Source organism: Homo sapiens, chromosome 5 (assembly GCF_000001405.40).
Source record: "Homo sapiens chromosome 5, GRCh38.p14 Primary Assembly".
Lineage (NCBI taxonomy): Eukaryota > Metazoa > Chordata > Mammalia > Primates > Hominidae > Homo > Homo sapiens.
The window spans coordinates 59,875,330-59,897,886 of NC_000005.10; the positions used below are offsets into that span (position 1 = coordinate 59,875,330).

A 22,557-nucleotide genomic window follows, 5' to 3' on the forward strand; every position below is an offset into this window, starting at 1 on the left:
ACTCGCCTGTAGTCCCAGCTACTCGGGAGGCTGAGGCAGGAGAATCTCTTGAACCCAGGAGACAGAGGTTGCAGTGAGCCGAGATTGCGCCACTGCACTCCAGCCTCGTGACCAAGTGAGACCTCCGTCTCAAAAAAAAAAAAAAAAAAAAAAAAAAAAAAGAAGGAATCTGTATCCTGCTTGAAAAAGGACAGAGTGAGAATTCCTCCTTAGGTCCCATCACTGACTCCTCTTTTCCTCCTTGCACTTTAAATGGTGCACCTCTGGCTTCCATCCTTGAGCTTTTCCCCACTGGCATCCCTTATTTAGGTGTTCTTTCTGATGCTCATCATATTTTCCTAGTAACTTCCAACCAATCCACACTATTCTCTCAATTCTTCTGAGTTCCTAAAATCTGATATATTGAAAGAACCTGAACTTTGGAGTCATAAAAATTCTAGCATTAGCCATAAAAAAAGAACAAGATCATGTCTTATGCAGGGACATGAATGGAGCTGGAGGCCATTATCCTTAGCAAATTAATACAGAAACAGAAAAACAGATACCACATGTTCTCACTTAGAGGTGGGAGCTAAATGATGAGAACACATGGGCACATAGAGGGGAATGGCACACACTGGGGCCTATTGGAGGCTGGAGGGTGGGAGGAGGGAGAGGATCAAGAAAAATAACTAATAGATGCTAGGCTTAATACCTGGGTGATGAAATAATCGCTACAACAAGCCCCCATGACACATGTTTGCCTATGTAACAAACCTGCATATCCTGCACATGTACACTGAGCTTAAAAGGACAACAACAACATATATATTCTATAACTTTTCTAAGTTCCATTTTCCAGGTCTGCATCTAGAGAAAAGGGTATATTTTCCACGGTCTGTTGAAAAGATTAAGTGAACTGTGATCTGTGCAAAGCTTCTAGGAGTACCAAGCCTCACAAATTAATAAATGATAGTGCTGAGGAAATATGATAATGATGATGATAGTGATGGTGATGATGATGATGACAATAATCTACTGAACATTTCTATTTGTGTGTTCACTAGCAAACTCTTCAGCTTTCCTCCCCTGACCTGGTAAGTGCTACCATCACTCACCCAGTTGGCTGAGTACATACCTTAAGATTTCCATCTCTTTATTCTTTATCCACCTGCCTTTTTCTAATTGATTGCTAAGAATGGACAAACCTAGCCTAATAATATCAACCTATTTATTCCACTGCTCTAAGTTATGACTCTATCTGCTATACTGGATTTTTATCATAATGTCTCAACTGGACTCCCCCCACCTTCTGTCTTGCTTTATTTTTATTCCCCTTCTATGCTACTACAAGAGGAATCTTTCTAGAGGACATTGATTATGTTTCTCTTCAACTTAAAACTCTTCTATATGAGGAACAATTGGGATAGTGTATGTCAATGCACTATGAAAAAGTCTTTTTAAATAATGATCTATAAATGGCTATCTCAGTAATATTATCTTAGGAAGATGTAGAAGTTTTTATCTCATAGAAAGGGAAAATTACTGTTGCATACTTATCCTAATACTAAGATGAAGGGAAAGGAAAAGGATAGGACAACAACAACAAAAATACATAGTAATTGTCCTACACATTAATGGTATTATGAAAACAAATATTTAGAGCCAAAAATGCATACATAGAACCACAAAATATGAAAATATATATAAAATCCTGGTTTGAGAGCAAGTATCTTTGCTTATACCATATTTACAACTCTACATGAAAACACAATACCTTGATTCTAAGAAAATGAAAAATTAAAGAATTATTCTTGTCAGGTGTGGGTCTTAAGAATAGTCATCCTAGAGAAACAAGCAAAAGAAAGACTATGAAGTGTTTATTGTTGTTGCTGTTTTGTTTTGCCTGCATGTTCGTTTGGTTGTTTGTAAGAGGTATATCAAATGCAAAGGCTTGTTAAGTGTGATTAACAGATTATTATGGTGTCTATGCAGATAGAATTAGCCAGAGGCAAAAGCACATGGCAGAGATTTTTAAAAACATACAATTGATAAAAAGGATAAAAAAGCTTAAACAATAAACATACATGTTCATAAGTGCAGCAATCCACCATGGCACATGTATATCTATGTAACAAACCTACACATTCAGCACATGTATGCCAGAACCTAAAAAAAAAAAAAAAAAAAAAGAAGAAGAACAAAAAAAAAGCTTAGATAAGTTTGCAGGGCATGGTGGGTCACTCCTGTAATCCCAGCACTTTGGGAGGCGGAGCTTGAGCCCAGGAGTTCAAGAGCAGCCTGGGCAACACGTGAAACCTCATCTCCGGAAACTTCATCTCCACAAAAAAATACAAAAATTAGCTGGGCATTGGTGGCACACAACTCTGGTCCTAGCTACTTGGGAGGCTGAGGTGGGAGGATCAGCTAAGCCCGGGACAAGGAGGTTGCAGTGAGCCAAGATCGCGCCACTGCACTCCAGCCTGAGTGACAAAGCAAGATTCTGCCAAAAAAAAGAGAAAGAAAAGTTTAGACAAGTTTCCAAAAGGTTTTAAAGATAAAGCAAAAAAAGGATAATTTTGCAATAACACACAGCACCACTCCCCAAACTCACCCCTCAACCCCCGACACACAAACATCCACACATCAGTGTTTGAAGAATTTCCAGTGATAGATGGGTACAGAAATAATTAAGATTAGAAAACCAAAGCTGGAAAGGCTGGTGTAGTAGCTTCCTAGTTAGAGAGAGAGGGCAGAACAGGGGAAGGAGGGAAATGACTGAAAAAGAAAGTTCATTTGTCTTTATGATGTTACCAAGAGGAAGTAGTTTGAAGTGTTAGTTTTCATCTTTTTCAGATGAGTTGAGAAAACCAATTTAACTAAATTAATGCAATTAATTAGTGGTGACCTGAAATGCAATATATCTACCTATGCTTTCACAATCAAAAAGCATTTGTTATGCTTCACATATTGACACAAGTGATCTATCCACAACACTGCAAATTTCCTCTGCAGATGAGCGTTTTCAAATGTTTGCCTTACCCAATATTTCAAACTTTCCCCCACTCAAACAAGCTAAAAATTACAAAGAACAAAGGAAAACAAAACTGCAAGATTTTAAATTTACCTTAGGTGTCCAAATACTTATGGATTTTTATTTATTTACTTACTTACTATTTTTTCAAATACAGGTGGGATGTTGCTATATTGCCCAGGCTAGTCTTGAACTCCTGGGCTCAAGCAATTCGCCCACCTCGGCCTCCCAAAGTGCTGAGATTACAGGTATGAGCAACCATGCCTGGCCATGGATTCATTAATTGTACTTTTTGGAAATACATGTAATTTAAAAATTATTTTATCTAATAGCATTAAGTCAGTCAGTCGACAGGATCTATCATTTCCACTTTTAAAAAAAACCTCTCTTAAATTCATCTCTTTACTGCCATGTCCATCCTTTACTGCCACAGCATCAGTTTCAGACTATCACCATTTATTTCTCATCTGGTTTACTGCAATAAACACCTAAATCACACCTTTAATTTCTTCCCACTCCATGGTCTACATATCTACCGAAGTAAGTTTTTTTTTTTTTTTTTTTTTTTTTTTTTGAGACAGAGTCTCGCTCTGTCGCCCAGGCTGGAATGCAGTGACGCGATCTCGGCTCACTGCAAGCTCCGCCTCCTGGGTTCACGCCATTCTCCTGCCTCAGCCTCCCAAATAGCTGGGATTACAGGTGCCTGCCACCACGCCCGGCTAATTTTGTGTGTGTTTTTAGTAGAGACGGGGTTTCACCATGTTAGCCAGGATGGTCTCGATCTCCTGACCTCGTGATCCGCTCTCCTCGGCCTCCCAAAGTGCTGGGATTACAGGCGTGAGCCACCGCGCCCGGCCCTACCAAAGTAAGTTTTAAAAAATTCAAAACTATCCACATAATTTCCCTGCTTAAAACCAATCAGTGCCTCTGTAACATCTTATAGGGAAGTTAAGGAATCTTTAGCAAAGCCTTATTTCCTCTTCTTGCTTTTCCTTACCAGCCCCATCCTCCACAGCCGGAACTCCGTATATATTGAACTACTCTCTTAGGCTACTGTCTTGGAAAATACTAACCATTAGATACTACAGTTTTTAACTATCTACTTAAACAATTTCTACTGTTTAATAATCAGATGGCAGTTATATTCTGTTAAACTACTAGTGCACATTTGAGGACATTATCGTTGTATTTCCGTTTGGTCTTCTATCATTTGAAATTTGTAATTTGTTTGCATTTATTTTTCATAGGCAGATTTGTATAATAGAAGATCCAAAATACTCATTAATTAACTACATCAAATATTTAAAGCAAATGCTTAGACACAAACGGCATCCAAAGCAATAAAAAGGCTGCCAGACTGCTTGAGGGCCAACACTGCTATATGTTATTGTTTTTGGGTTTTTTTGTTGTTTTTTGAGACGAAAGTCTCGCTCTGTCACCCAGGCTGGAGTGCAGTGGCGCAATCTCTGCCCACTGCAACCTCCGCTCCCCGGGTTTAAGCGATTCTCCTGCCTCAGTCTCCTGAGTAGCTGGGATTACAGGTGCACACCACCACGTCCAGCTAATTTTTGTATTTTTAGTAGAGACAGGGTTTCACCATGTTGGTCAGGCTGGTCTCAAACTCCTAACCTTGTGATCCACCAGCTTTGGCCTCCCAAAGTGCTGGCATTGCAAGCGTGAGCCACTGCTCCTGGCCTGTTATTGCTTTTCTACATACTCCCACTATGTCCTCATTATCTACTTTATGGGTTCAAACATTTCTGATTTTTTTTTTCTTTGAGACAGGTCTCACTCTTTTGCCCAGGCTGGATTGCGCAGCACAGCAGGAGCATAGCTCACTGTAACCTTGAACCCCTGGGCTCAAGCGATCCTCCTACCCCAGCCTCCTGAGTAGGTGGGACCAATCAGAGGTGCACGCCACCACACCCAGCTAATTATTGTATTTTTTGTAGAGACAGGGTTTTGGTCTGTTGTCCAGGCTGGTCTGGAGATCCTGAGCTCAAGTAATAATCCCGCCTCGGCCTCCTAAAGTACGGCGATTACAGGTGTGAGCCACTGTGCCTGGCCTGAAATTTTTCATGAGTTACAAAAAGATGTAGTGACAAAAATTCAAAGGGGTATCTTGTTCATTATTGTCAAGTCAATAATCTAATTTGGTCGAATCAGTTAAAACAATCTCTGGGGAAATATTACATTGAACATGCTTGACAAAGTTACTTCAGTGGCCCATCTTGTTATCTCTTAAACCTAGCTAAGGAGATAGAAATGTTTAAAAGAAAGCATTTTTGATATGTGACATCACAAAGCACACTACCTCTTCACCATGTTTTGTATAATTAGTAAGACATATAATCATTATGTTTGAGCTCATTGGAAATGAAATCACATTCTACCAGGGAGTAAATGGCAATGCACTTGAGTCTGGGGTCCTCATGTCATGACTGCCACTAAAAACAAACAGACATAAATTGTTTTCCCTAAATACATTTTTTTCTGAAATATTGCTATAGTGAGATTATTGAGTGTGTATGTGACCTGTTATTACTGGTTTTTTATTTTTTGTGAAATATTTCATGTTTATAAAATATTCCATGTCAACAGAAGTAATGACTATCTAACAGCTTCCACATCTTACTACCCCCAAAATAAAAATAATACATAAAGTTAAAAAGGAGCATTTATGAAATTATAAGTGCCATTTTGCCAGGATGATGATACATACTCTTCTTCTTATGAATGTTAAGGTTAGTAGACCATTTTGAATTGGCAATTATTTTCTCAGTCAAGAAATTTATTTATTTTTACTTTTGGGTCTTAATGTCATGCAGAACTACCAGATGCCAATAACAGGAGTAGCTGTGGGCATTTTATATATGTTTAAACCAAGCTAACAGAATGAATTGAGCCAGAGTATTTATAATTTATTAATAAATGTTAAATAATGCATAAACACTAAAATAATCATAAGACAAAACACAAAATAACATTGAAATTAGTATCTAATGTCCTTATTATCATTTTTTTATTTGCCGTCTCCTTAAATATAACTCTCCTGCAACATCATCATCCTGGCAATCCATGGTGCCACTTCTTCAATGACTTCCTGTCCTTTAGGTTTATTTCCAGAGGTGATATTTGCATTTGTAAACTGAAGTGTCTTTTACATAAAATAAATTGTATAGTTATTTTTTAACTCTTTAATAAAATAAAGCACATGGTAAAGGTTGTCTGAATTTGGAGTTGTTTTCTACTTACTTTTAACAGTATATTCCTAACTTCATAAAATTGGTAACCCTGGAGTTCAATTATTTATTAATAATTCTTTCAGTTCAAGCAATGTACAAATACTGTGTTTGAATGTGAGAAAAATTGACAGAGTCATTATTTTCATAGGAGTTTATAGTTTGGTGAAAGAAATTGGCCTTATCAATAATTATACAATTAAACATGTAATTGAAAATATAATAAACAATATAAAGGAGCACTATATGGTATTATGACAGGTTTGGGAGATCTGAAAATACTTCACCAAAAGAAGTGATGCTTGAATCAAGATCTGAAGTATGAGTAGGTGTTATAAAACACTAATGGGTGTGGAGGAAAAGGCATTTCAGGCAGAGGAAACAAGACATAAAGAAGCACATAATTCAACACAAAGTTTGGCCTATCCCATTGAAGCCATGAACATCCTTCTGTTTCTCACAAACTGTGGGTCTGTTGATTTATTTGGATATTTCAGCTATTTATGGCAGTTTCTGAGTTAATATAAGTATGGGTTTCTTAGAACCATATTCTACATGAGGGGCATCATTATACTCTATTACTTCTCAAACATCTGATAAGAACAGGGTATTTATCCATGTTGGATGATCTTTCTTCAGTGTCTGTAGTAGCAGCTGCCGTGATGAGTAACCACATGATTTCTGGACAGTAGAGACCCCTGCCTACTGATCATTAGACAAGAAACTGGTCCTCAATAAAACTGAAAACCCAGGTGGTGGGAATGATTGAGTGGTAGTAAAATAAAAATGTGTGTATAGAAGAGTCCAAACTTTTACTTTATGTTTTAATGATTTAAAAATGCTTCCAAGTGAGCTGGAAGCACACCTGCATACTAGGTAATATTGTTATCATGAATTTGGACAATCTCGATAGACTAAAAATGTATTACTCTAATTGCTTTCAGAGAGAAGGGCTGTGAGTAAATTATTCTAAAACATCAACCTCATTTTTGGTAAGTAACTTCTAACATTTAACTGGCTTATATTTAAATGTGTCAATCCATGTATTTAATGGGGCTACATTTTGCAACTAGATTATCTTGGTGCATTCAACTGGAAGTGGATATGTTATAAATATCGAGACAATGGGGTGTTCATGTCAGAAAATCAGAAAGCTGGATACCAACACTGAATTCTCCTTTCCTTCTTTTTTTTTTTTTTTTTAAGAAAAAATACCAGAGGATCACTCTGTTGCTCATGATGGAGTTCAGTGGCGCGATCTTGGCTCACTGCAATCTCTGCCTCCCAGGGTCAAGCAATTCTCGTGTCTCAGCCTCTTGAGTAGCTGGGATTACAGGCACGTGTCACCATGCCTGGATAAATTTTGTATTTTTTGGTAGAGACAGGGTTTCGCCATGTTGGCCAGGCTAATCTTGAATTCCTGGCCTCAAGTGATCTGCCCGTCTTGGCCTCCCAAAGTGTTGGGATTACAGGCGTGAGCCAAGATGCCCAGCCTCTCTTATTCCTTTGGTTCCATTCTATCACAAATAAGGAAGACCCAATTTGGGCTGGTGTCCCAGAATTCTGAGCCACACTTGAGAATTAGGTTGGGCTTGCTTGAGGGCTACAGTTACAGGAACAGAGCAGGTCAAAAAAGCAATATTTGAGCAAGAAACTAAAATAAGACCTTAGTTTTTAATCTTAAGGACCAGAGAACACATACAGCATCCAAATCAAATTCGGGTATTCAGGTGAGAACAAGAGGCTGAACGTGGGATACAGGAGAGTGAGTCTAGAAGAATTTTCCAAGTTGAAGAATGCAGCTTCTTTTAATGGTGCACACTTAGTGTTCAGTCTTAAAGAGAATGCCCTGTTAAGAATGCTAACTGGGGCTCCAGTGCTGATAGATTTTCAATGAATGGAACTTAGACAACAGGCCATCAATGTGTAGTTTTATAAGAATCAGTCACAGTTATAAGAAACATTTATATCTATTTCAAACTTTATGAAGTATAGAAAAAATGTTGAAACTGCACACACCATATCACATAGCATCTTTTTTATAAAACACCACAGAGAAATATTTCTTTTAATTCTCAGAGTTAATAGCAATATATTTTACCAAGCAACTCATTTTTTAACTTACCGATATATGAATCTTAAAGCAACAGTGTTCCCTTCCTTGGATTAGTTGATAGGAAGATCAGAACCAGTCTGTGACTCGTTTCTAGCAATTACTCAGGAATTAATGAAATGAATTTTTGCTTTCATAGTTCATACTATTTTCATGCCATTTTCTCTTCTCTTTGATGTCCTCATGTTTATCTTTTACTAAATTTTTTTATGAAACGCAATCCTTTGCTTTTTTTGGGGGGGTAAGAAACAAGTGAAATACAAGTGAAATATATTAAACGAAATAAGTTGAAAATATTGTTTTACAAAAGGAGAAAATACATGATTTTTGCTTATTATAAAAACAACACATGCTCATTTTAAAGGAAATTGAGTAAGAGAAGAGAACATAAAACAAAATCAAAGACCTCTCAAAATATCCTCTCTTCACACACCTGTAACAGTTTGGTGGTTTTTCCTGCTTAGACAGAATATATATGTATTCTCTCTCTCTGTCTTTGTCTCTCTCTCTCTACATATATATGTAGTACTGTCTCTGTCTCTGTCTCTCTCTCACTCTACATATATATGTATATAGATATAAATACACACACACATATATATATACACACACATACCACACATACACCTACATACATAACTATAGGCACACATGTACATAGACATAATCTCATATATGTAAATATAAGCATGCATGAAAACACACTGGTAAATGATACCATATTCTGTCATCTATTCTCTAAATTGCTTTTTCCACATAACAACTTGTAGAGTTTAAAATAACATTTCAATAATTTCAATACATACAGATCTCAATACAGATATATCATCATTTATTTTACAATTTCTGTCCTGAAAGATATTTGGGTGGTTTCCAGATGTATACTATTATATGTAATATTGCAATATAGTATTTCTTTGCTCACTTATTCAATTATATTCTTAGGCTAAGTTTCTAAACATAGAATTAATGGGACAAAAGTATGCACATTAAAATATTGATATATATTATTTGATCACCCACCAATGTTTTCCTGATTTATACTTCCTGATTTCCTGATATATTGTTCACTGAAAATGTACATAAGAAAGTGGCTATGTCTGTATACCATCTCAAATTCTTTTAAATTTTTCATCTTTTTCCAAAATGATAGATGAAAAATTGTTTCAGTTTTTATTTCTTTGTCTGTCAGGTAGAAAAACTTTTCAAATGTATATTTGTCATACATTTTTCTTCCTTTTTGAATTTTCTGTTCATGGCCTTTATCTGTTTTTCTCTTGAGTTTTTAATCTTTTTTATCCAGTGCTCTTTATTATAGTATGAATGAAGTAATGATCATTTTTTATTTCCATAAACCATTAAACAATTTATCCTATATTAAATAATTTATCCTTTTCTCACTGATTTGGACTGCTACCTTTACTAAACCCTAAATTTTCAATATATGCATGGGCCTTATTCTTGACCATTTATCCAGTTGGTTGAATAATTGGTTTATTTCTAAATTATTATCATGCTGTTTGAATTAATAGCCTATATGATATGTTCTGCTATCTTATAAGGAAAAACAGTCTTTTTATTTTTTCAAAATGTTCTTTACTATCCTTATATTTAAATTAAATTTTAAGTCAAGTAATCCCCTAAAATCCCACTGGGGATTGTCATTTTTAAATAAGCCTCTGACCTTATCTGTCTGAAGTGTTGCATTTTTCTAAAATCCCATTTCAAACTGCTTACTTTCAGCCACCCCAACGATAATCTTACTCCATTAGTATACTATGTTCTCATAATTTTTCCCTTAGTGAAGCAGTCAATAACTTAGCTTTAGAACACAGTGCCTTAAATTTTGTGGATAAAAGACTCATTGAGAATTGGATAAACATTCTCTAAGAAATGTGTGCCTACCTCCAAATGTAATGAATCTTGTAGAGCCACATAACCCAAGGTTAAGAATTTACTCTGTAGAGGCACTTCTCTAAATTTACAAAGGGGGCTTTATCCCATCAGAGTTATTTTCACTCTTACATGTTGTTTTTTTTTCATAAGTTAGATCAAAACTGTTATTTCTCTTCATAATATTATAATTTCACTCTGTCTTCATAATCTTAACTCAAATTATAGGCTGCTTCTCCTCATACCAACCTATACTCACAGTATCTCTTGTTTCATTACATTACAATAAAAAAGATCACTAGACCTTTTTGGCTCAAGTCCAAGTTCTATCTTTGAACATGAATATGTGTCTATTTTTCTGAGATTCAATATTCCCTTCCATCATCTATAAAATGGGTAAAATAATCACTAACTCTGTGTGTTTCAAAGAGATTATTAAGAAAATCAAATATATCCTGTCTGAGAGAGCACAAACTAAAAAGACAAGGTTTCATTATTATTTCCACATTTAAAAGCTCACCACTTATTAAAAATCTATATAAAACCATTCACTGTGCAAGGTCCTAACATACCTAATGGGGGAAACACATAAAACAAATAATTAAACTGCAATTGATAACTGCTAGAGTACAAATAATATACGAAAGCTATGGGAAAGCCCAGAAAAGAAAAATATTCCCACTTTGGGAGATCGAGGCAGATGGATGACGAGGTCAAGCGTTTCAGACCAGCCTGGCCAACACAGTGAAACCCCGTCTCTACTAAAAATACGAAAAATTAGCCGGACATGGTGGCAGGCGCCTGTAGTCCCAGCTACTCGGGAGGCTGAGGCAGGAGAATCGCTTGAACCCGGTAGGCGGAGCTTGCAGTGAGCCGAGATCGCGCCATTCCACTCCAGCTCGGACGATAAATAAAAATAAAAAATAAAAATAAAAAAATAAAAAAATAAAGAAAAGAAAAATATTCCTTCTTTGTGTAGGAATATCCGCAAGAGGGTAACATGAACTGAGTTTGAAAAGATATTCATGAGTTTTCTGAACAGGTAAGGAAGGGGTGTTGCAGAGCATAGGGAAAGCAATCTAGAAGGAAGAAGCAGCCTCAGCAAGAAAGAGAGGTGTGAAAAGGCACAGAGAACTCAGACCACGGCCAGAATTTAAGTGTGATTATTTCATGGGGTTTACAAAAGGGGACAAAAGTTAGACTTTCTGCAAGAAAGACCGACTGGGCCAACATTCTGAAGAGTCAAACTAAGAAATTTAGACTTTATCTTGAAGGCAAAGAGAAATTACCTTAAGATTTAGAAGATGGTGGTGAAACTGGTAGCCTGGGGTGAAAAAAAAAAAGGAACAACAGGAATGAGGAGAGGTTGGAGCTAGAGATCACTTAGAGGCTATTGCGATAGTTTAGTGAATAGAGGATAAGTGCTGGAACTAGGGAAGTGGCAAGGAAAAAACACAAGAGTTATTTCTGAGGACGATTCAAAAGATCTTGGTGGTCTTTGAGATCCAAAGTTAGGGGAGAGGAAGAGTCTAAGAATGCCACAGACCAGAGACAACTGGATGGATGTGATGCCCCACGTTGAGACGGAGCAAGAATTATAAATGCTCATTTAGATGACAAAGCAAATTTTATAGAGTTCTCAATCTCCAAAGTGGTATGGTGAGGTTTGGGGCAATGGTGGTATGTGTGAATATAGGGTCCAACCAATTTAGCTGATAAGTTTTAAACAATAAGGTAAAGTGGCTTATTCTTCGGGAAAAATCAGTTTTCTTATTTTTAAACGTAGATAAAATGTTCCTCAGGATAAAAATAGCCACATCTTTTGAAATATAATACAGTGCTATTTGGTGTAATCCCTTAGCAACGTTGCTGTTATGAGCCAGTACTAGCAGCATTCAAGTTATAGACTCACATATTGCATATTTTTAAACCTGTAGATGGATAATAAGCTGTGAGAGGGACATAAGTTTGTCCATGATAGACTTCAGACATTTAAATAATTAGCAAAATCATAAACAGAACTAAGTCTTTTTAGATTATTATTCTATTTGATCTTTAAGAACTCTTCCCAAGACATGCCTCCAAACCCACATTAAAGTTTAGAGATAGAAATCAGTGAGCAAGCCATCAGTGTGTGTGTGTGTGTGTTTGTGTGTGTGTGTGTGTGTAAATGTATCCAAATTGAAAGTGAAAGAATGTTTGTTTTCTGAAGTCATCTCTCTTGTGCCAATATTTGAATATTCCACTTATTCACAAATGTTTTTTAAATGTAATTTCCAAACTTTTGGTTCAAGGCTATAACCTGGAAGTTGGGGCTACTGATGGTTAAAAGATGGCCACAATGTGTAAAATGTAAAGTAATTGTCAGCAGATATGGAGGATATAGTTTGTAGTTATAGTTTGGGCAGTAAACTAGTTGTGTTAAGTAATTTAACCCCTCATGACACATGTTTCTTCAAATGTAAAAGATGGACAGTGGTGGACTAGGTTAGTTTAAGCCTCAGTCCCTTCTCTTCTCGACATTCCATAATCTTAGAGAAATATGTCTTGTTGATGTGGTCAATTACCTATTTTCATGCTACTGCTCCACATGTGGGCAACTGAACCCAGATGATCCAATTAGAATAAGACAAGGACTTAGGAACATTCCCTGCTTGGGGATTTGTTCCTATCCTTTCCCTTCTACCTCCTCTGCCCACCACCTCCCATTTCCATGAAACACAGAAGGTACATCATTTTAGAATCAAAATGTAAAAAGGTGATGGATTCATTATGTTTTTCTGATTAATCAAAGGCTTAGAACACACTAGCTGATAAAGTATTAAATGAAGTTACCAAGACAATATTCTATTGGAGGCAAATCAAGAATAAAAGGTTCAAACTAATTTTGAAAAAATTAAAAAGTCTAATACTGTGTTACTGTGTTGACAATATGTAGGAAATGTAAAAAATATACATTTTCCTTGCATTTTTTGCTATTTAAATATCCTTAGTGTCCTTACATATTAAAATTTAAAGATGTCAACCTTATGTCAGTTTTCCAATATGCTTTTTTTTAAAGATACTGTTTCCTAAATTCAAATTCACTGATGTAGACAATCTGAACGGCCAATTTTTCAATTAATTATTTTGGTAATGTGAAATCTAAATTTTACATCATGAACCTAGATTACCGTTACATCCTTTAATGAAGAAAAAATTACACTAATAACCTGAAAAATCAATAAAACAATAAAGAAATAGCTTTTATAACCTAGCATAGAAAAATGAAAACCTAATTTCTTTTATTATTTAAATATTACAATATGTTTTCTTTATTTAATATATGATGTTAACATATTTAAAAAACTAATGTTGCCAGGCACGGTGGCTTACGTCTGTATCCCAGCACTTTGGGAGGCCGAGGCGGGTGGATAACTTGAGGCCAGGAGTTTGAGACCAGCTTGGCCAACATGGTGAAGCTCCATCTCTACTAAAAATACAAAAAATTAGTCAGGCGTGGCGGCTCGTGCCCGTAGTCCCAGCTACTTGGGAGGCCAAGGCAGGAGAATCCCTTGAACCTGGGAGGTGGAGTTTGCAGTGAGCCAAGATTGTGCCACTGCACACTCCAGCCTGGGTGACAGAGCGAGACTCTGTCTAAAAAAAAAAAAAAAAAAAAAGCTAATGTCAAGTAAATATAATATGCGCAGAATTTATATTTTGTGTGATTATAGGTTTTAGCTCTTTTCCTTCTACCTAAATTGAGTCAGGCATGGTGGTTCATGACAGTAATCCCAGCACTTTGGGAGTCTGAGGCAGGAGGATCACTTGAGCACATGTGTTCAAGGCTACAGTGAGCTATGATTGTGCCACTGTACTCCAACCTGGGTGACAGAGCGAGACCCAGTCTCTAAAAAAACAATAAATATAAATAGATAAAAATAAATGAATCAAACAAAGTATCTAAATCAAATGTCCCCTTCTGGATATTTGTATCACTATAATCCAGAATATTTTATAATATCAAGGAATCATCCATGCTGCTTGTATTTTCAACCTTAGTGTATTATATTATTGAAAATAATATTTTGTTGTGTAAAGTCAAAGAAACAATAAAATTATTTATCAGTTCAGTTAAATAGTTGTCACATTTTGAAGACTATTGGTTGAAATGATTAATCTGATATGTACATTTTTAAAGAGTGTTTTAAACATTTTTCATATTTCATTTTGTTCTCTTGGTAACTTAGAGACTCATTTCTCTGGTAATTTTATTGTTTGAAATTTCTTGCATGTTGAGATTAAGACATGAATCTACCTTGTTTGACAGACACACTTTATATAAAAAATTTATTTAACATATCCAAATTTCCCATGGACTTAAAAGAATTGACCACAAAATATCTAAGGGTTGTCTCCTTACTGCTTATATACATTTTTTCATTAAACAAGATTCCTCTTTCCCATTGCTTCACAAACTGTTACAAATTCTCAAAATTTCAGCCAAGATAATATCTGGAAATGCTACAGTGCATGCTAGAAATAGCTTTATAAAAGATATACCTTTCTTGATAATCCATAGGGAATCATTCATCCATCCACCCATGAGGCTTTTTCAGAGACATTAACTTGATAGACTATTTAAACCCCCCATTTGGATGATGGTAAGATGGTGGTGCGCACGTACACACACACACACACACACACACACACACACACACACACACCTTTTCTTGTTTGCTTTTAGAAAATTATTGAAAAAGACGTTAGATGTTCTCACTAGCTTTAATTTATCTGAACACTCTTTCATAAGTATTTATATGCATTTTACAAAGTCAACAAATACACTGATTTGCCTCTGTTGTGATCATTAACACCAGTTTATACTGCCCAGAGTTTCTAAAGTTAAAATCTCTAATTACTTCTAGAAGCTTGTGATATATGTCATTTTGTTAAAAATGGATTTAAACCATATCTCATTTTTAGTTCATTCAGGCTTTATGTCCTGTAGTATCAGTCGATATAAACTTCACGTTGGTTTCATGTATTTCTTGATGCTGTCAACAGGCCCAGGTTCTGCACACATTTATTTAAGGTGGGCTCACCACCTTTGATGAGGCAGGAGACTTGGGTTTCAGTCTTAGCTCTAGCACTCACAGTCTATGTGATACTGAACAAATTGCTCGCATCTTCTGGGGCTCAGCATTCTTGTCTATCAAATAGAGATAATACCATCTCATCTCAGTGTTGTTGTAGGATTCAAATAAGTTAATAAATGTAAAATTTCTTTGATAATTTAAAAGCATTGTTGCTGTTCTCTTTAAAATAAAAAAGTATTGTTGCTGTTCTCTTTAAAGAATGAAACTAATATCCATGTCCTCCTTAAAGATGTATTTATTTGCAAAAGCAACTCTATTAAGGAAAAACATGACATGCAATGTGTGAGCATGTGGGGAATATGCAAGTATTGTAAAGAATTTTAAGTCTAAGGATCCTTAAATAGAATGACAATGATATATCAGGTGAGCCACAGTGGCAGCTACATATAAATATTATACATCTTAGTTTGCCTGTGAACCATTCAACTAAAAATTTCAAATAGAACAATTAATCAATGTAGAAAGCATAGCAAAAAATAAATTCAAATCAATGATGCAATACCTCTATTCCAATTAGCTTATTTTTCTTTCTTCCACTCTCTCAGGCATATTCTATTTTATTAAAAAATGAAGTCAATTAAGAAACTCTACAAAATCAATCAGCCCACAGATCAAGCTAGAACTCTTGTTCTTATTTAATGTTTATTAAGGGCTCATCATCACACGGTATTTTTCTATTAATAGGTCAAATATACAAAGTATCAGGCTTGCCTTCATTCTATCATTGGGGTCCTACATAGTGTCGTGCTCAACCAAAGGGGAGAGAGAAGGACATCCACCTCTTCAAACAAAGGGTCTTAGCAGTCTTGGCTGAAAAATGAAACTTTTATATTAATTTATGGAAGTCTGCAGTCTTTGATCTGAATTGAGGTTATTAATTACAATTCTTATTCTTCCCATCCAACAGGTACAAGAACATCTCCAACAAGGTACCTAAGGGTGTGAGCCAGGCAAAGGGCTAAGAGCATATATGCAAGCTGAAATGATGTGTACACATCAGGGTTATGATAGTTTGGCTGGATTCCCTTGTACATAGTGTATACAACAGAGAGACATGCTCACACACACACACACACACAAAACTCAAACACACATTTGAACACCATTATGATTTTCTGATCAGTCCAACCTACTGTCAATCAGAGTTGGACAAACAATCCCAGCCCTAGATTTTCCTGTTTCCACACCCAGACCTGATTTACAATTTATAACTGCCCATTGTTCAGACTTGTGGCTTGGAGGTGCAGTACATCGATGCCTGTCCACATCTAAGGTTAGATGACGACCCCTCTACTTTACTATTAGATGTGCCAAGGATCAGCAGCTCCTGAAATCTTTTTCCTGTGCCTGTGTGGGGGAGGGGATTCACGGCGTGGAAGGCCTGGGACAGGGAAGAAAGGAGCTGTCCCTGGGTTATCAGGAAAGGGACCAAACGTGGGCCCCACATCCACCTCCACGCCTGAGTTAAGAATCTGGAGCTGACTCCTCAGAATGGCTGTAATTGGTCCTTTACTCATTTCCTTGGAGAAGCAGCGGTCAACTTCTACTAAAACTCCCGGTTGATAGGCGGCTTCCCTGCCCTGTCTTCCGGAGCACTTACGTTAAGGGGAAATCACTATAATCAAATCTCTACGTCTTGCCTGCTGCTAAAACAAGGCGCTTTCTTCCTGGGATTTTGCAGGGACGACTGATACACACACGGTCTCCCTACACACAAGCTCGCACACACCGACACAGTGTAACTCCCACAGCGTCCTCGCTCCTTCTCCCTCCCTCACCCCCTTGTCTCTCTCAAGGATTGCTGAACATTTTGCTCCAAACTCTCCAAGTCACCCACGTGTTCTCCCCTTTTGCTATTCAATTTACTTCTCCACCTGACGAAGAGAAATGCGAGTTGTTCTTAGGCTTTTAGCTGCAATCCTGGGACCAGGCTTTCTCACTCCCCCCTCCTCCCCAGTCAGAGCAGCCCCACCGACCCTCTTCCCAATAGGGTGAGTGGACAGATGCTGGGTGCTTTCGCTGGTCAAATCCCGCAAAACCTTCACCTTCTCTTCTTCTCCACCCAGAGCAAACTGATTTTGCCTGTTTAGTCTCACTAGCCAGGGTGGTATGGAAGTGGGTGGGGAGAGGGCTGGTGCGTGGCACAGATAACTGGGAAGCGCGCGCACCACACACACACACACACACACACACACACACACACACACACACGGCCCCAGTTAACATTTATGCAGTACTTTTGGGGGGTCTCTTACACACACCTGAATAGCATACTCTCAATAAAGGATAGGCACACCCCTGTTTGTCCTCCCCCAATTTCCAGACTAGCATTTTACCCTGGGTCTAGAATTGGTGGTGATAAGCCGACTTAGATGGAGTATTTGAGAAAAGGGGAGGTGACCCTTTGCCTGAATGGGGGAGGGGGCGCTCTCCACTCACCGCCTGAGTCCCTGGAACGAGGAGGGCCAGGACATCCTGGATTTCTTCAGGCCGGGCCGGTGGCCGGTCTCCACCGCGTAGGAGGTGCGGTCCATGGCGCGACAGTACAGGTAGCGCTCGGTGTCCGAGTAGCCGCGATGCCGGACGCGGCCGGTGGCCCCGCTCGAGGCGTAGCGGCCGCGGGCAGCCCCGGGCGGCGGCGGGGGCGGCGGCAGGGGGGGCGGCGGCGGCGGCTGTAGCGGACACTGGGGCTGGGGCTGGGGCGAGGGTGGCGGCGGCGGGGGCAGGTGGTGATGGGGATGCAGGAGGCGGAACTGGGGCTGCCGGAGCGGGTACTGGTGGTGCTGCTCGTGCCTCCAGAGATGCTTGGGGGCTTTGAGCGTGGCCCCGCCGGCGCTGTCGCTGCCCTCTCCGCTGCCCGCCCGGGCCGGCGCGCTGCTGCCCTCTGCCTCCATCCTGGCTCGCGGCTCCGCGACCTGCTGCCCAGCCCGGGTTCACCGCGCTGGCCCGAGCGCCTTCCTGATGCTGCTGCTGCTGCTGCCGCCGCCGCCGCTTCTGCAGCCCAGCAGAGGCTGGTGCTTAGCTTCTCACTTGAAGGCGCCAGAGCCTCAGGGCTACCGAGAGGGGGCCCTGCCAGCGGGAGGGGTCACAGAACGCGGCAGGGCTCCTTCCACCGAGGCTATGGCAGAGACACGCTCCCGGGCTCCCCAAGTCACCAAGACTAGGGTGCGCGGTGCCCGGTTTCGCCAGAGGTTGGTCCTTCTTCCTCCCTTTCTTCTTCCCTTCCTTTGGGCGCCGGCGGCGAGAGCAGGGATTGTCAGCAACTCGGGCTGCAGAAGCAGCAGCAACGGCGGCGGCGGCAGTGGTAGCCGCCTCCAGGGCACCGGAACCCTGATCCCGGAGCTGCTGAAAAGTTGGACAGCTCCAGGCTGGCACGCCCGAGCTGTGACTTTCACCAAAACCACTCCAGCCAGTCAGGAGTCAGACCTGTCCTCTTGATCCTTCCCCTCGCCGTGCCCGCGCCTCCCTCCTCCACACTGCTCCCCACTGCCCCGGAGCCTTCCTCTTCACCTCCGCTTGCCTCAGTGCTCTTAGAGAAATGGAGTTTGGCGATTCCTGGCTGGTTCTCAGAGCTTGTTGACGATGAGCCCCATGCTGGTGCTTCCAAAGATAAGGAATGTGACCAGGCAAAGTTGCCTGGAATATTGTCTATGCGCGTCGCTGAAAAATTGGATCTGGGTGAAGATCCAATAGTAAGATTAATTCAGTCTCTTTCCCTGACATAGGATAAAACATTGTGTGGCTCTTTCCCACAGCAGGGAGAATGCCCAATGTTTCCTCTTGAAGATCTTCCTCCAACTTGGCCTCGGGAGTGGTCCTCGCTGGAAATCAAGGCGAGTCGTCCTTAGTTGCAGAGCCATGGCTGAGCCCGCTGGCCAGAGTTAAGGTTAAGGCACCTTTTCAATTACAAACCTCTGATTATCTTCGGTAGTCTCTATCTTCAGTGCCTGCCTGCAATTTGCCTTTCTGCCACTTCCAGCAGAACACAGCTCTATTACTAAAGTGTTTTAAAAACATGTTGTATCAATATTCACAGAAATTAGAGTCCTATGAGGCACTAGAATCCAAATTCAACTTTTGTCTTCCTTTAATTAGCATTTTCCTGCAGTGTCAAATGTTTTTTAAAGAAGCCAAGAGGATTTCAGGGCAATATATAGACACTTTTTTCCCTGTACCTTTTTTATTTGACCATATTACTTAAAGATGAAATGCAATTTGCTTACTGTTAAAATAATTCTAGAATTTTTCTTTGTGGAAGTTACCACGTACCATCCATTATTTGAACGATAATATATTTAGGACTCACAACAACTTGTTGGCTGTGTAATTATTCTATTCTTCCCACACACTCAGTCTTAACATATTTTCATATGTACATTTCAAGCATATCATGTAATGGATGCTAGAGTACCAGAATCAGGAACCATGTCTCAAACTCTCTAGACTGCTGAAAATTCAACACTCTCCACACAGTCTAGATGCCACTGGGAAAATAATGCCAATGAAAATAAGTGCTCACTTTGTTTATCAGCAAGAACAGTCCACGAAATGTGCAAGTGGCAGGAGAAGGCCTTCATCATCTCTTCATGCTATTTATTTATTTATGGTTGGAAATATACCTTTCCTCCATCAGTTTAATATGAGCCCTCTGCTCATATGTGGACTATACACAAAATCTGAGAAAGGTTGTGTCTTAAGAGAAACAAGGCAATCTCCTAAGCACCACTCTCCACTGTGTAGGATTAAACCATACTTTACAAAGGCACTCTTTTTGCCCCTTTTGCAGACACAAGTGTGACTGGTGGCAGTGGTCAAAGTATTTACCATGCCTAGGAGGGCACTAAGCCAGTATTTTCCCAAACACAAAAGGAGAGAAATGGAAGTGTTCTGCAGTATAGACTGCCTTTTTCTTTTAATTCATTGCATTATTAACATCCAAAACCATTTTAAAGAAGTACACAAATTTCTTCTTTCCCCTGAAATGCTTGCCACCTTTCGCCTCAATATAACTGTGGCAAAATACCTCTATCCGAAACTCTTATTCTAATTTCTCATACACTAACAGTACAAGTGACTTATAATTTTTTTCCAGATTAAATTGGAATAATTCAAATCCAACCTGATTTTCACCACCAATTTGCTCCTTCCTTTTTACTCATGAAAACTTTATCTTTTATATATTTCCCACTGATTTTTAAAAATTCTTTGTTTTGTTTTTACTATGTAATTGCAAGTCAGGAACATTTTAAAATGTAAGAAAATCATTTAATATGTTTCCAACTTGTAGAGTTTTTAATTTAACTTATAATTCCAAAATGTTATTGATAGTAATAGTTTCTTGTGTGATCTTTGAGGTTACAGCTTGAGTTCCAATCTACCACTTCCTACCCATGTTACTTTAGCTAAATTATTTACCATCCCTGTCTCCCATATGCAAAGTAGTACTAATATTACCTACTTCACAGAATTTTGCAATTATTTAATGAAATAATACTTAGCACAATGCCTTATATGCAATGAATGTTTAATAAAGGTAGCAATTTTTATTATTCCTGCCAGGCTGGGAAGTATCCTAAATATCATGTTAATCAGCAGTTCCCAGTCTTGGCTGTACCTAGGGAATATCACCTGGGGGAGCTTGAAAAAAAATGTCTGATGTTGAACCTAGAGCAGTGATTCCAAACTTTGATGTTATCAGAATCACCAGGAGAGCTAATCCAGCACACAAAGACCCAGGCTCCATGAAGCAGGATAGGGCTTGAGGCTTTATACTTTTACCAAATTTGTGAGAAGATGCTGCTTCAGTGTAAAGTTTGATCATCACTACCCTGCCTAGACAAATAAAATCAGTATTTCTAGGGGAGGATCAAGGCATCGGCATTTTAAAAAACTCTTCATGTGATTTCATACATCAGCAACTACTGATCCAGACTTACTCTCTCATTAAATGGTTGCAAAAACACTGTAGATACTATTAGTTGACTCGCCCTTGTGTCTCAAATACTTCTAGGGAAGTCCAGCTTATAAGCAAAGTTCTCATGAAAATATGCACTTTATGTATTACTCTAGTTGCCTCTATGCTAAAAGAAAATCTTATACTGCTGAATATTGAGCACTCCCAGCCTTCCATTTAAAAACTCTTCTCATTAATCTAGGTATTTCCTACTTTTAATTAAAACAACAAAAATGTAAAATATTCCATCTACCCATTGGTTTTCCCTGCTTATATGTTAAATAAATTATCCATTCTTTTTCCCACTAGTTGACCATAGATTTTGGAGTTTTATGGGCACAGTCTGAGAGAGATTTTTGTGAAGCATTGGGTTAATGTGGGACATCCTGGAAAGCTATCACTACTTACCATTAGCACATCTATATAAAAAGTAAAAATCAGGTAAATGATCAGTATCTTTTTCCTGAACAAACTTAAATAAGCAGTTAGTTGGTGTCATTACCATGCATTATGTCATTACCACCCCCACCCTTTTCTGCAAATGCATTTCAAATCTGTCCAAAAGATACAATCAATCACTCAATGTGCTGCTGGGCAATTAACAAGGGAGAACATTCTTGTCAATAATGATGGAGAGTTCTGGCAGAAGTGATGTCAATTAACAGCTAGCAGAGAGCAAGCACCATTTCTATCCAGAACACAGAGTGAGATGGCAAGTGGCAGTAACTAAGGGTCCATTTCTATCTTGGCAATGGGAGGAGGATTTTTTTTTTTACTTTTTTTATTATACTTTAAGTTATGGGGTCCATGTGCTCAATGTGCAGGTTTGTTACATAGGTATACATGTACCATGTTGGTTTGCTGCACCCATTAACTTGTCATTTACATTAGGTATTTCTCCTAATGCTATCCCTCCTCCAGCATCCCACCCCCCGACAGGCCCCAGTGTGTAATGTTCCCCTCCCTGTGTCCACGTGTTCTCGTTGCTCAAGTCAATGGGAGGAAGATTTAAAGGAGACTTTCACTTTGCATACATTCTATGTATACTTGAGCACATGAGTGCTACTTCATTTGTAAAGATGGTCATCTTGATGCCCAACAGTCAGCTTAAAATCGGAAATTTTCATCATCATATGTGTTACAAAAGGCTAAACTCCTGTCTAATTACATATCCAAAGGCATTGAAAGTCTCAGATTTCACTTAG

The 22,557-nt window shown here is 38.7% G+C and overlaps 1 protein-coding gene across 17 annotated transcripts in view; it reads right to left on the minus strand.

The window, feature by feature from the left end:
* PDE4D (phosphodiesterase 4D) overlaps positions 1-22,557 on the minus strand; it is a 1,553,091-nt gene that overhangs the window by 906,292 nt on the left and 624,242 nt on the right. The window contains exon 1 of one of the 17 annotated variants that reach the window (NM_001104631.2): positions 17,839-18,397. The exons of the other annotated variants lie outside the window; for them this stretch is intronic. Coding sequence (NP_001098101.1) covers positions 17,839-18,293 — 455 coding nt within the window. The 5' untranslated portion in view covers positions 18,294-18,397. Of the gene's footprint in view, positions 1-17,838; positions 18,398-22,557 lie in introns of those variants that run through there. 17 annotated transcript variants of the gene reach the window in all.